This window comes from Homo sapiens, chromosome 9 (assembly GCF_000001405.40).
Source record: "Homo sapiens chromosome 9, GRCh38.p14 Primary Assembly".
In the NCBI taxonomy this organism is placed as follows: domain Eukaryota; kingdom Metazoa; phylum Chordata; class Mammalia; order Primates; family Hominidae; genus Homo; species Homo sapiens.
This window is the reverse complement of record NC_000009.12, coordinates 106,918,727-106,932,674: the sequence shown is the minus strand read 5'-3', so window position 1 is coordinate 106,932,674 and position 13,948 is coordinate 106,918,727. Positions and strand designations below refer to the sequence as shown.

The 13,948-nt window shown below is 45.6% G+C and overlaps 1 protein-coding gene across 36 annotated transcripts in view; it reads right to left on the bottom strand.

Annotated features, from left to right (window-relative positions):
- ZNF462 (zinc finger protein 462) overlaps positions 1-13,948 on the bottom strand; it is a 153,477-nt gene that overhangs the window by 80,960 nt on the left and 58,569 nt on the right. For 11 of the 36 annotated variants that reach the window (XM_047423662.1, XM_006717212.5, XM_006717209.5 and 8 more), the window contains 4 exons: positions 9,072-9,321; positions 2,916-8,542; positions 1,986-2,150; positions 126-412 (listed from right to left, as the gene is read on the bottom strand). In XM_047423662.1, coding sequence (XP_047279618.1) covers positions 126-412; positions 1,986-2,150; positions 2,916-8,542; positions 9,072-9,291 — 6,299 coding nt within the window. In that variant the 5' untranslated portion in view covers positions 9,292-9,321. Of the gene's footprint in view, positions 1-125; positions 413-1,985; positions 2,151-2,915; positions 8,543-9,071; positions 9,322-13,255; positions 13,580-13,948 lie in introns of those variants that run through there. The other 25 variants (XM_047423672.1, XM_047423676.1, NM_021224.6 and 22 more) reach the window with 7 other exon arrangements.

Below are 13,948 nucleotides of genomic sequence, written 5' to 3'. Positions count from 1 at the left end.
ACATAGCAGCAGGTGTGAACCATGAGTGGGGCCTTCTTACTCATCCAAGCTTCTGCTTTAGCTTAGTGCCTTCCACTATGACATCATCTCCCAGTAACCACTAGTGACCCCCCAATAGCACTTACTTGTGCCTGAAAGCAGAAACAAACGAGCAATACTGGCAGCTGTACTTGTCCTCGCGGGTAAACATGGCCAGGGCCAGGTGGCTCCTCTCATGAGAACGCAGCCCCTGCATGGACATCAGGACTCTGTCACATTGACTGCAATGGTATCCCCCCGGCCGGGTTTCATCCTCCAACATTCCATCAAGCAAGCAGTGTTCACCATCCACCCGGCCCACCAGGGCGCCACTGGCGTCTTTGGCTGCTTCCAATCCATCCAGGAACAAGTGGGCAGGGTCATCCGCCTCCTGCTAAGAGAACCACACACACACACATGCCCCACCAACAAAATAAATATCCATCATCATTGCCTCCAGCTTTCTTTTTCTCCCTACATTCTCCCAAACTCAACAGCACTTCTTGTCAAAGCTTCCTCCCCTGCCTCTCCAGCTACCCCTAGAGGGAGAGCAAGCCCAACTGCCATTCTTCATGCAGTGGAGGTGATTTTAGGACAACATACCCGGACACAGGTTGCTACTGTTTGCGAAATGTGAACAAGGGCTTCTCCCACTCTGAAGACACTTCACTCACTTCTTCCCCATCTTAAAAGAAAATTCAAACTGCAACCCCATCTAAGTTGACATAAAGTTGGGCTAGGGTTGTGGCTCACAGAAAGGAGAGGAAGAAAGGAAGAGAAAGAAAAGCAAAGTAGTATGGTCATTGAGGAGCCTTGGGCCATTATCTGGAAAGGAAGCAAAGCAAAAGATCCCGCTGTCTGCCCCCTACCCTGTAGATGGTGACTTCACTCTATGACTGGAGACTGCTGCATAATCAATTCAAAAAATTAAGGAGCAGCCTAGTTTTAAGTCACCTGTTTTTCGAGATAGCTCCTTGGGTTACTGATTACACAGGAAAAGCCCTTCTGTCTCTCTCACATGATCCCAGGAAACGAGCCTGGGACACACCGCAGTGGTGTCTGAAAGAAAGTGACTGCTGATATCCCTGGGTTGCCACTGTTCTGCCAAAAGACAGAAAGCTTCAGTCTTCAGTGAAGAAAAGTAGAGACTTTATCTTCATGTTAAATTGGCAAAATAGGATGTAAGCTCAAGAAGGGCAGATGACAAAAATATGTTCGCGTGTACCCTTAGAGAAAGGGCAGAACCCCAAAATGACTTCTGTTTTAATAAATAATAGGGCTTAGCAATATCCTGGAAGACGGGGATGGTGGCTTGGTTACTGACATGGTGGCTGCTATTAGGATTATGATGTTCAAAACAGGTGGCCTAATAAAAGTCAGAGGGAAAAGGGAAGACACTTGTCAGCATCATATGGGAGAGGGGATGGAGGAGACAAACCAAGGCTTTCAGGGTCAATTGCGACTTGAACGCTTTTAGTTTTAATGTCTCTTGCAGTCCCCAGAGGACCCAGGATAAGAAGACAAAGAGATTCTCCTAGGCTCTCTGCATCCTCAGCCAGATGAGAACAGTAAGAAGTCAGGAAGAAAGAGGAGCAGAAGATGATGGGAACAGAACCCACTTGATTCCTCTCAAGAGCTCGGGCAACTTGGAAGAACGAAGAGCTAATGGCACTAAACGCAGAATAGAAGGACGACCCGAAGCCTCCTAGACCGAGAATCCTGGACCTTCTGCTGCCACCAAACTATCCGCGTGGAAGGAAACCAGATCGAAACTCGACCTTTCCCTGAACAGAAAGATGAGGAAGGTCCAACCTGCAAAGAAATCAAAACAAGCCAAACCAATCCAAGCATAATTCAGGAATGCCCGCATTCTGAGATGCTCTTTCCTGAGCTGCTTTAGGCAATGGGGTTAATAAGTAACTCGAATCGCTCACACACAATGCTCATCCAGACCTTCCAGTTCTCACCTTCACAGCAGCTGACACAGCTGGGACATTGCCATACTGGACGTGCTTTCGGAGGTGATTGCAGATGGCTCGGAGCGTTGGGTGCACTTCCACACAGAATTTACATTTGTAGCCCACCACTTTCCTCTCCTTGATCTTTGGCACCTCTTCTAAGTGACCAAAAGGCTGGTAAAATACAGTGGTAGCCATCAGTACTCCGAGCCCTCCCTCAATTGTCAGAATTTATTCTTGCAGTTTACTAACATACTTTATTTTAAAGCCGATTAGCAGGTTAAAAACCAAGGGAGATATAGGCGAGTATTTTTATATAACAAATTTGTCAGCATCATGGCACGCTGCCTACTATGCAAAGTCTTTGAAACCCAAATACATTACGGCTTGTGAGTAGAGAAGATTTCTGTGCAGAAGCTCATCGTCACTGCCACTAAGTCATCTGGTTTTCAAACCAGTTTCAACTAGGCAGGTGAAACGTTGCATAGTTGCGCCATTAATGAACTTCTTGATAAAATAAAATCTACTCCTGGAGACGTTAGGTTCATGTAGCAAACACTGAAGACCAAGACATGGCTGAGAAGTGCTAATGGTACCAAGAGACAGCCCACACTGCCTTAGGAAAGAGCGAGCGTTGTTGTAAAACTAGGCTTCAGATAAAGCTACTTGGCAGAAAGACATACATAGAAACCACCCCAAACCTCCCCTGGGGAGCCATGGGAGGAGTCAAAGGGAAGGAGGGAGGAGAAGGGACCAAGGAGAGGGGTGAGCACAGAATGGGAGATAATCAAGCTCGAAATGTTTAATTGACTTATTGAGCTCTCTGGCAAGCTAAGTCACTAGGAAGCCTGCAGCAGTTTGGCTGGCAACGAAGAAGTGCATGTGGGCACCAGTGATGAGAGGCCTCCTGGGGGAAGGGAAATCAAAACATATCCTTACCCTCTCTTGTTTGAAATCTGCAAAAGCACCATCTGCATATTTCTGCTTGCTCAAAAGCTGTTTCCTCCTCTCCTGACGTTTGGCACGCTTCTGGAATTCCTCATTGTGAATGTTCAAGTGTGAGGTCAGCTCGGCTGTGCTTTGCAGTTTGCTATCACAGTGCTTACACTGGTAGGTGGAGTTCTGCAAGCGGGGGCCGTTGCCCAGAATGATGAAGTCCCTCTTTAGGTCCCGACTGTGGTGGTCAGTGTAATGCATGCACAGCAGCTCTGCAGTGCTAAAGGACAGCTTGAAGCATTTGATGCAGCGGAATGGGAGCCACTCGATTTCCTGAGCTTCACCCTCCACCTCGGCTTTCTCAAAGTTGCCTCTCTCCTCTTCTTCCATCAGTGTGGGCTTCTCATGCTCATCTGCATAGACGGCCGTGAAGTAGCCCCCCAACTTGCTGGCGTGCTGCTTCTTTGGGAACACCCCTGGGTGGCGTTTCATGTAATGGGACACGATGCCCTTCTTGCTGAACGACTGGAAAGAGCACAAGGAGCACTTTTTCTTCTCCACTGCCCGCCGGAGTTCCTCGCTCAGCTGAGGGGAGTCGTCCTTGGGCGGGGATGGGATGATCACTTTGTTGGGCTTGTCGCTGATGGTCCTGGAGGCTGCCAAGCAGTGAGTGTAATACGCATCAATGTCGTGGCGCTTCTGGTAGTGGGCTGCCAGACCTTTGCGGATGGGGTTGGTGTAGGCACACAGGGCACACTTGAAGAGGTTGTTCTTGCCTTCTGGCTGGGCTCGGACATTATTGTGCTTGATGCGGTAGTGCCTGGCGATCCCCTTCCTCGTGGAGCAGAAGTACTTGCAGAGCTGGCACCGGAACACAGTGTGGGAGACCAGGTGGGAGGTAGAGAAGTGAGAAGTGGACACGGGCTCCTCTCCCACCTCCTCCTCAGTGATGGAGACTTGGGAAGGGCTCACTTCAGTGGTCATCTCGGGCTCGAGGGGGACTGGCAGCTTCGGGGGCGACTGGGAAAAGACATCAAATTCAGGCTGATTGTGATACTTCTCGTAGTGGATTTTTAGTTTCTCCAAAGTGCCGTGTGTGTACGGACACAGTTTGCACCGGTAGGCGCCATACCCTTGCTTGAAGATCCTGCTCGTCTCCTCCACGTCATTCTGGGATATGTCAGCAGACTGCTCTACGTCGTGCACAAAGTCCTCAGCGGTCACCTTGATGGACGGGTGTCGCTTCTGGTAGTGGGTCAGTACGCCGTGGATGCGGGTGTTGATGTATGGGCAATGCCTGCATTTGTAGACGGCACCTGGGTTGATGTCAATGTCCTGGGCAAAGTCAGCAGCCTTCACTTTCATGCCAGGGTGCTTCTTCCCATAATGAGTGAGAAGGCCGTGCAAGTTGTTATACTCAGATTGGCATACCGTGCACTGGTATGGGGTGGAGGATATGGCGGGGTTGGCTGAAGCTAGCTGCAGGCTTTTCTCAGGGGACAGTCTTGCATCCTCTGGACATTCAGCTTCCTGCTCCGGGAAAGGGGTGGGTATACTGTTTTCACAATTCACAGGGCCTGCCAACTCTTCGGATGAAAGAATGGGCTTCTCCACAGCATCTTTCTCCTTGATGATGTCCAGTAGCACTGACTCATCACCATTCATGGCCCAGGGGTGGAATGCTTGGTAGTGATTAGTGATGTCCCAGATGGAAACAGCTTCGAAAACACAGTCCCTGCATCTGTAGGTTTTGGCTTCGGCTGGCATTGTGAGAGAGGGAGGGGATGGGTCTGGCCCAGCCCACAGTTTAGTAGCCATGTAGGTGTAATCAACATAGTGTTCTGGATGCCTCCGTTGGTAATGCAGGAGCAAACCGTTGGGCTCCGTATGGGAGTAGATGCACCACTCGCAGTGGTAGCCAGCTTCTATCAAGCCATCTAGAAATGCCCATCGCATGATGGACGTGACTGTGGCTTTCAGGGCGGGGTGGTCTTTCTTGATATGCTTCCTCAGTGCATAGAAGTAGGGGGAGGTATATGAGCACTGCCTACATTTGAGTGCTCGGAGTTTCGTTTTGTCCCGCTCCAGATTAGAGGGGGAGACAAGCACGCAGCTGGCAGGCTTCTTCTGATTTCGGTCGCAGAGGCTTCGAATGGTGGCCGTATGCTGCCGGATCACATCTGCATTGGCCTTGAAGTCTCGGTGCTTCTTCTGATAATGAATGAGTACCCCTTTGACCGTCCGGTTCCCATAATCACAGTGCTGGCAAAAGAACATCTCATTCTCCACAGGAGGGCCATCTCTCTCAGAGCTGCTTCGGTTCAGCTGTTGTATGGGGGCGGGTGGCCGGGGGGAGCCTTGGGGCCCTTCGACCCCTCTCATCATTGCAGCTGTGGGAGGAGCCTGTCTGATATATTTGGCAGTAACCTTTATTTCTGGGTGTCTTTTCTGGTAGTGGACAAGCACTCCCACAACTGACCGATTGCTGTAGGAACAGTGTTTGCAGTAGTAAAGCTCAGTACTGAGGTCTGGTGGCGGGGGTTGTGGGGGGGGTGGGGAACCCATGTTGGACATTTTGGGAGACATTGGAGCACCCACCTCAAATGATAATTGAGAAAGGGCAGAGCCCCTGTCCACAGACACCATTCGCATAGTTTTCTGGATCCTAAAGTAGGAAGCCTTTTCTTCGGGGTGTTTCTTCTGATAATGAACCAAGACAGAATGCATGTTGGGGCTTGCAAACGAACAAACATCACAATCATAAACAACAACAGTGTTGACCAAAGGGTCCTTCTGATTTTCACATTCAGGAGTAAAGGTCTTAGGAGTGTTTTTGTTGAACGTAGCTGGCAAACCACCACCACGAGCCACAGGTGTGGAAGTCGCCATGTTCTTGGGAGCCGAATTCAGAATCTCCCTCAGGGTCTGGGATTCTGTATTCAGCCCTTCCTGCTGCTCCACGACATAGCTTGAAAATATCATCGCGTTGTTGATCTTCACCGTGGGATGCATTCTTTGGTAATGTGGCATCAGGCTTCTAACATTCGGGCTCGTGTATGAACAAAACCGACACCGGTAGATCAGGTCCGAGTGATCAAAGTTGAGTACATTCATGGCTTCTGGGTGGTGCTCGCCATAATGCTGCTGGAGATCTTCGAAGTTGGTGTAATCGATGTAGCATTCCAGGCACCTGTACACTGCACTGTGATCATTGGGGTCCAAGATGTACCTAAAGCTGAATTTAATGTATGGGTGCATTCGTTGGTAGTGGGTGCTAACACTCCGGGCAGATTTGTTGTTAAAGTCACAGTGTTTACAATAGTAAAGCCTTCCAGAGTCACCAAAGTCTGTGTTTTCACTATTGTGCTCAGTCCCATAGATGGGAGTTTGGGTATTCAGCAGAGCAGTATTGGAAACTTGGTGATCTTTCAAGTTTGTTGAGGAGCCATAATAATCCTCTTCATCTTCAGAAAGGGTGAGCTCAATCTCAGCCCCATTGGTGGCATTGTAATCGTGGGTGATGTTTCTGAAGTTGGGCTCTTTCTGGGGCTCACTGGTATCTCTTACCCATATCTGTTGGGCAGAAAAGGAAGTGGGAACCTCTATGATGGGTTCTGTCGGTTCTTCCTCCCTGTCCAACTCAACCTCTATCTCGACTTCGTTGTCTTCCTCTTCCTCTTCATCATCCTCAACATTGATCACTGCATCTTCCTGCTGTTTGGTTTGGTTAATTTTGCTCTGAAGGTTGCTTGCTATCTCGTCAATCCTGGTTCTCTTCTTCACGGGTGACAAATCTAGAGGAAAGTCATTGGCGAGCTTCCTAGAGGCTTTAGCTACAAAATTGTTCTTGGAGGACAACCCAAGAATTGAGGTCTGACTTTTCTTCACAGTGTTGCTGGAAGAGGGGTGGCTGTCTGTCTCATTTTCCAATGGTAGGCTTGAGGGCTGCCCCTCGAATTTTGGCAAGTTGTCACAGAATGAATGTTTATGCTGCTGATGGACTCTTAGCCCTTTCAGAGTTGTGGTGGAGTAATTACACATGGTGCATTTGTATGGGTGCAGAGGTGCGGCTTGTGTGGGTGGCTGTGGCTGCTGCGTTGGTGGTGGCTGTGTTTGTGGCTGGGGTGGCACCTGATGTGGTGGCTGCAGCTGTGGTGGCTGTGGCTGCTGCAGTGGCTGTGGCTGTGATGGTGGTGGTGGCGGCGGCGGTGGTGGTGGCTGCGGTGGCTGTTGCTGCTGCAAGGGATCCAACATGACTCCTGACTTTCTACCATTGATGCTTGAGCTCTCATAAGACACCACACCTTCATTCAGTGAGGAAGAAATGCTTTCACTCTGGGAATTCACAGCATCCCAATCTGACGTTGTACCCGTGTGACACTGTTTGTGAGCCCCAAGTTTCAACGAGCTCTTGCAAGTAAACGGACATTCGTCACATTTGTAGACAGCTGTCTTTCCAGATAAGTGGATGTTTTCTATGTGACGAGAGATGCTACGTCGATGCATGGTGAGGAAAGGACAAAAGGGGCACTGGAACCTATTCATGAATCTTCTAAATGGAATCCCCTTGGTCTCCAATAATTTGTTGCCATCTGAGCCCATCAGCTGCTCTGCAGACAGGCCTGATGTCTGGTGATCCATAGCACTTAAACCATTCTCACTGTCTATTTCATTTAACTCTTCATCAGAACTAGAGTCATTTAGCATGCTGTTAGTTTCCAGGTCAGCAGAAGAATTGGTCATGTCAGTCATTCCATAACGGGATCTCTCTGTCAAGTTAACTAGACCAGAATTGTGAGGTGACTTCGGCTTCATCTGAGGGTAAGACATGGGCGAAAACTTGGAAGCTGAAGAATTGGGTCTCATGATGGAGTTGCCCATGGAGCCCCTGAAGTTGGAGACGGTAGTATTGGGTATCTCCCGGCTTGCAGCATTCATGGTCAGATAGGTGGAGTTGGAAGTGGGGCTGGGGGCACTCTTGTTCGGCACATCAGGTAGATTAGTTCCTTCTTGTTGCTGTCTGAGACTGGAAAGGATCTTGACCATACTGCGGTGTTTCTTCATCATGTGGTCACACCAGCGTTCTCGGCGGGGGGTCTGGTAGCTGCACCACTCACAACAAAAGTTGCCTCGAGATTTGGTCAAAGGCTTGACCATAGACTCTAAGATGCTGCGCTCCACAACCTCTGCTGGCAGTTCCTTGCAGGGGTCCTGCAGTGATACGGGCGGAACCACAGGGTCTGGCATTGGAGCAGGAGCAGGTGGGGGAGCAGTGGTCTCCTTCAAATTGTTTTTGTGATACATCTTCTGATGCTTAATTATTCTTGCCCTTCTTGGTGACTTGTATGTGCAAAACTGGCAAGAGAAGACCTTTCCAAATCCCTCGTGCATCATGATATTATAATTTAAGGATCCCGGGACAGGGGGTCCTGATGAACTCCCTTCAGCTTGAGCTCCATGGACCTTTCTAGTGTGTTCTATGAGGAGGTTTTTTGACCTGAAGTAGCGTACACAGAACTTGCATTGAAAAAACTTGTTTGTTGGTTTGGGATTAGCGGCAATATGCTGACCATAATATCCTGGACTGTGGCCATAGTAACCTCCGGTCCCCAATGAAGTTGCATTTTGACCTAAAGAAAAAGCATAAGGAAAGTGACAAAGCAAAAGATAATTAAAATATCCAATCATGCAAATCAGTACCATTCCAATTATTCTTCATTACTAAACATCACATGCAAAAGGCCTGAAGTCTCAAGATGAGGCCTTGAAGAGTATTCACAAAGCATCAATGAAGATATACGTACTGCACCTTCTCATGGATAAAGATGCAGTGTATAGCTTTAGGTATTCTCCTCATCTCCATAAATGAGCCACACAGCTATAAAAATACAAGTTGCATAAATTGTACTACTTTTTCTAGAACTTTCCAAGCAACTATCTTGTTCTCCAAATTGAAAGGTAGGATATATGAGGAAGCTTTCGAAAGGATAAAACCTAAGGTACTCAAGGAGAGATACATGATGCCCAAACCACAAAAATGGCTAGCAAAGCACAAGAAACTCTGCAAAAGCCACGTATATTAAGAACCATGGCTACAGGCTAAAAGGAAACAAGAGCAATTAAAATACATCGGCCGTGCCAAGTTTAGTATAGATTTACCTGATAAATCTTCTGCAATGGCAAATTCATCCTTTATAGAAGAAAACTCCACCTCTGTCTGATTACTGGCATTCACGGACCCACATCGTAGCTCATTCACATTGTCCTCAGCAACATCAGTTGGCTGCAGAAATGCCGTGTGGACATCCTGAATGTGTGCCTTGAGATCTTCATAAGACGGGGCTCGGAAATCACAGCCATCACACTGAAGCACCTCCATGATCTGGGTCTAGCCTCTCACATTAGGAACCTGTGGCAGAAGTCAGAACAAAACATCTTAAGGAATGCACTAATCACATACCTCGAGCTGATGGGGCTATATATCCATTAATGGGAAAAAATTCCAGTATCAGTAGATTTCTCTTATTGGACTTTGCCAGTTGGAACATTGGCTAAAGAGAGGCAATCAGACATAATGGAGATGATGTCCTTGACCTCATAACTTCAAAGAAGGAAAAATACCAGATAAACATTTTCTAGCATGATATGTCTTCCAATGCCATTTGTCAAGGAAACGCTTAATACTTCAAAAGTTTTAGAAGTTTCTGAGCTTCTCCACTGAATCCAAATTTCTTGGTAACTTAATGTTGGCTTTGGTTCTGCCTTGGACTCATTTTCTTTTTAAATTGGAACCATCTCAAAAGTAAAGAGGATGTCCACACAGAAGAAAGGGAAAATTTCAACCTTCATTAGCTGTTTATTTAGTATTATGACCTTGGTGTTTTATCACCAATTAGTGAAATAGTATTTAAATCTTGGGGGTGGAGGTAGAGCATTTTTATTGTAGCTTTTCTTACTTTAATAACTTTGCTGATATTGGGGTGCACCTCTCTTTCCTCCCTTCTCCAAATAGTTTAGTTGTGGGTTTTTTTTTCCATGAGCTAAATGACTATTTGCTGTTTTACTACCTACCAATTATAACCTAACAGCTTCTTCAATCTAATTAGGTCATAAAATATTCCTCATGAGATTTTCAAACAACCAACTTTGGATGACAATCCAGTTTCTGTTTAAAGTTGCACCTTGGCACCTCAATTTGCATGAAGACAACAGAAACTTGCATTTTTGAAGAAGGGCTTCTAAGTCATGACTTTACCTTTTTCCACTTCTTTCCTTTACAAACATGAAGCACATACCTGGATGCAAAAAGCTGTGAACCTACCGTGGAATAAATCAAAACTTGCCCAGCTACCTTCATTCTGCTATTTACTTTGTGACTGAAATATACAGAAAGCTACACACTAACTCAAAGGAGAGTCCCACCATCAAGAAGTCAAAAATGTATTAGAAAGGTGGAGTCCTTCCTATCTTAATGTATATCCTAAGTTGAGATACCCTGTTATTATCTAATGAGTAAGTTACTTCAGTAAGATCATCACAAACTCTACTGAGTCACTGTAATCTAGAACCAGATGTCCAAGAACTAACACCGTAGCCAATGTATTTTATGATGTAATACTCTATACTTTTACTGTAAAAGATAAATTATTTCTGCAGGAACAAAAAAGTCCAGTAATAATACATCAATGTAGTGAAAGGAGCCATCACACAAGGATTTTCTATCAAAGAATGCTCCTCCTGATCGCCTGCTAAAATAACTTCTGGCAAGTCCAGTTCTGGACAGACTGAGCTTGCAGAGTGAGCCGCAGATATTTACCTCCTCTTCTTTCACCCAGCAATTTATCCTTTTTCAATAAACATTGAACTGTGCACCAGACTCTTTTCAGCTAAGTCTCAATATTCCAGATACACAAGCTTTTATGTCTAAGCACCAACCCAAATTGTGTGGAAGAGGTTGCTATCAGCTCTGGATCAAATTACAGCAGTCACTGAGGCCCCACCCCACTTCTCCTTTCGCACAGTCCATTAGACCTGAAAACAAATTTTTCCATGGTGCAGACAACTCCTGCATTTAGAACACTTCACAGAAAAAAGCAGATCATCCAGTGTGCACTCCCCATCCCCCAAGCTTAGTCCTTTCATCTCAGCCAAACAAGCCACAGCTCTGCTGAATGTGTTTATCACACTTTCAAGAGATATGAGCTCCTGCGTCACTGAAGCTCTAAGACTCACTAAGCTGCCCTAGTCCTCTGAGCTTTAGGGGCAGCCATTTTAGCTCAGAGCTTCTCCTCCGTGCACAACATGGCTTCTCCTGGAGTCTGCTAGGCTAACAATCAGAAATGAATGCTAGAAGAGCAGGCTGGGCTCCTCCTATGCTCTTCTCTTCCCAACAAAGAATTAACTGTTTTCATTTCTCTCTGAAAAGCAGCACCTTTCTCCTCCTCAAATGTCATTCACCAAGATCTCCAAAGGTTCTTTTATTCCATGATTGATATGCTGGTTTGTTAGTCCCAGCAGAGCCCTGGTCAGAGCAGGATGACCCTGGGCCAGATCCTGTTCTACATCAGGATTTAGGGGTGCAGTGGGGGGACCTCCAGAATGCCTTGGCTTCTTGGAAGTCGTCCTTCCACACACAGAAGACATACCATCCGACTCTGCTTGCCAGATTCCAAAGTCTAATGACCTTTGTTAATCACCAGCCAGTCTGTCTGCATCAGCAGACCCTGCCAACAGACACACCCTTCAACACAAAGGCTGTAGCTATTCCTTTTAAAGGAGGTTCTCTGAAAGCTCCATTGTGTAGCAGAGAGGAAAACAAAATCTCTTCCCTTCAAAACTTCAAGCCTTTAGAAATAATGCAACAAAAGGCTTTCTGCTGTGTGTCTTTTGGAAAGTTTGAGCCTGATTTGCACAACATCAACAGAAGTTACGGTTCTGCAGAAGGAAAGCAGGGCACCTTCGGCATTAAGTCATCCACCTAGAAATGAAATTCATCTCTCTATGTAGTTCTCTAATATCTTGGTGTCTTCTGAAGCTATTATCAAGGATGCTAACTTCACTGGACACAAACATAAACTAACAATCTCCTTGTTCTGCTACAAAGGAGATTAAAGGGTTATGAGATCAGAAAAAGAGTCACTGATTTGGAAAAAGAAGAGATGATGAAAGTGATTTCCTAATGGGTTCTAGCTTTAATGTTGTTGCAGCCTCTGCCTCAAAAATAGCTCAGAGCCTTAGAAGAGGTTAATCTCCAGGCCGCTGAGAGAACCAGCATCAGGTAGAGCTGAATGGCCTTCAATTTCATGTCTGCACCAAGTACTGAAAGGAGGATGTAGCCTACTTTGAAAGCCATCTTGCTTTTGTGTACACATTTCTCCTGAAGACGCTGACAGAAGAAGAAAATAGAAGTTGCTGGCATGGCCCAATCAAAGAGAGAGAAACTTGATATGTTTATGAGATGGTACATGGGCACATGTGCAAAAAGTGACAGCAAGTGGAGGGGAAGGGAGTAGAGAAGGACAGAGACAAAAACACACTGGACATGACGATGACCCATTCATATGTTTTTGCAGCAGATGGTAATCCTCTAAGAAACCAAAACCGAGGAAAAAAAAAAAAGGTGAGAAATAAGCTCTGCATATCTTCTTCATCAATCCCGAAGAGCAGCAACCCTAAGAGGCTAACCTAGTCACTGATCTGCTATAAAATTATGATTTTAAGTTAAAAGCTTTGATCTCATATCTATTGACTTCATTTAATAATACTATGATTATGAAATTAGCAATATTTTTTCTCACCAAAATCAGCAAAATCAAAAGTAAAAGAGGAAGTTTCTGAACTAACTAAAAAGAGTCTATTTCAAAAGGTCATGAGATGAATCTACATATCAAACAAGCATCCCTGTCTTCTACCCCAGATATATGTCTAGGCCCTTCAAGGTCAAATAGACCTCAGATGCCTAGACTTTAAACACCACCCATCATGATCCCTGCAAGGTGAACACAGATTCATTCTAAAATAACTGGCACCTAATGTGACTGGTCCTCCTAACATGAAACCCCTAAACCATCCTAATTAGTCACTGCCTTTAGTACTACTTATTCGTTGCTGGTTTGTTCAGTTTGCATTTACAGTTTGAAGGATTTCAAAATGTGGGGTTTTGATGGGCAAACCCACAATCCAATTGTTTATGTTTGACAAACTCTTTAAGATATAAAGAACATCCAGAGATGATGTCAAAGATTTGAAACATATATACAGAAATGGGGAAAAGTAAATTATGGACAAAGCCTGCTCATTTTCAATCTTAAGAACACCAATTTTAATTTATACCACCTGCCCACCTACTTTCTGTGCTCAGAATTCCAGAGATCCATTTGCCTCAGTTTTCCCTCCTGTGAAGGAGGAAGGAGACAAACCACAGCTTCATCGTCCATCCTTCCAACTCACTGCTCAGACGTAACCGGAGCGGGGAGGTGTTGACATTGTACAGCATTCTTACAGGCCCGCCACCATCACTTGGTCCAGGTCAGCTTGGCAAACACTGCTCTTTAGTTTGAGGGCCCAGGAGCATAAATGTGGTCCTCAAGTCAAAATCCCAGCTCTCTTCAGGAAGTGATCAAATTAAAAGGCATAGGCCTTGCCTGGATCTAACCTGTTCTCTGACTGAAGGACTGCAGCCCAGAAATAAAGCTGTGAAGCACCACAGCCATGTGATTCAGTAGCAACTAATTATAACCTTCAAAGCCTTTGAGAAATAGAACCAGAAACACCATAAGGTGCTTTTCCTCTGTCCACTCCAGAAACCTAGTTTCATTTATAAGACACTAAACTTCCCAGTTCTCCTCAATCATAATTCTAATAAAAGGCTCTCATTAGCACCTGTTGTTTGAACTTTTCTTAGTTTTCTTTCTTATGAATGGAAAAACCAATTATCCAAGGACAGGTAATAGAATACATAAATTCTGGAATAGTTCAGCTAGAAAAACAGAAAAATCAAGAGACTAAAGATCATTCTAAAAAATGTATTTGCAGAT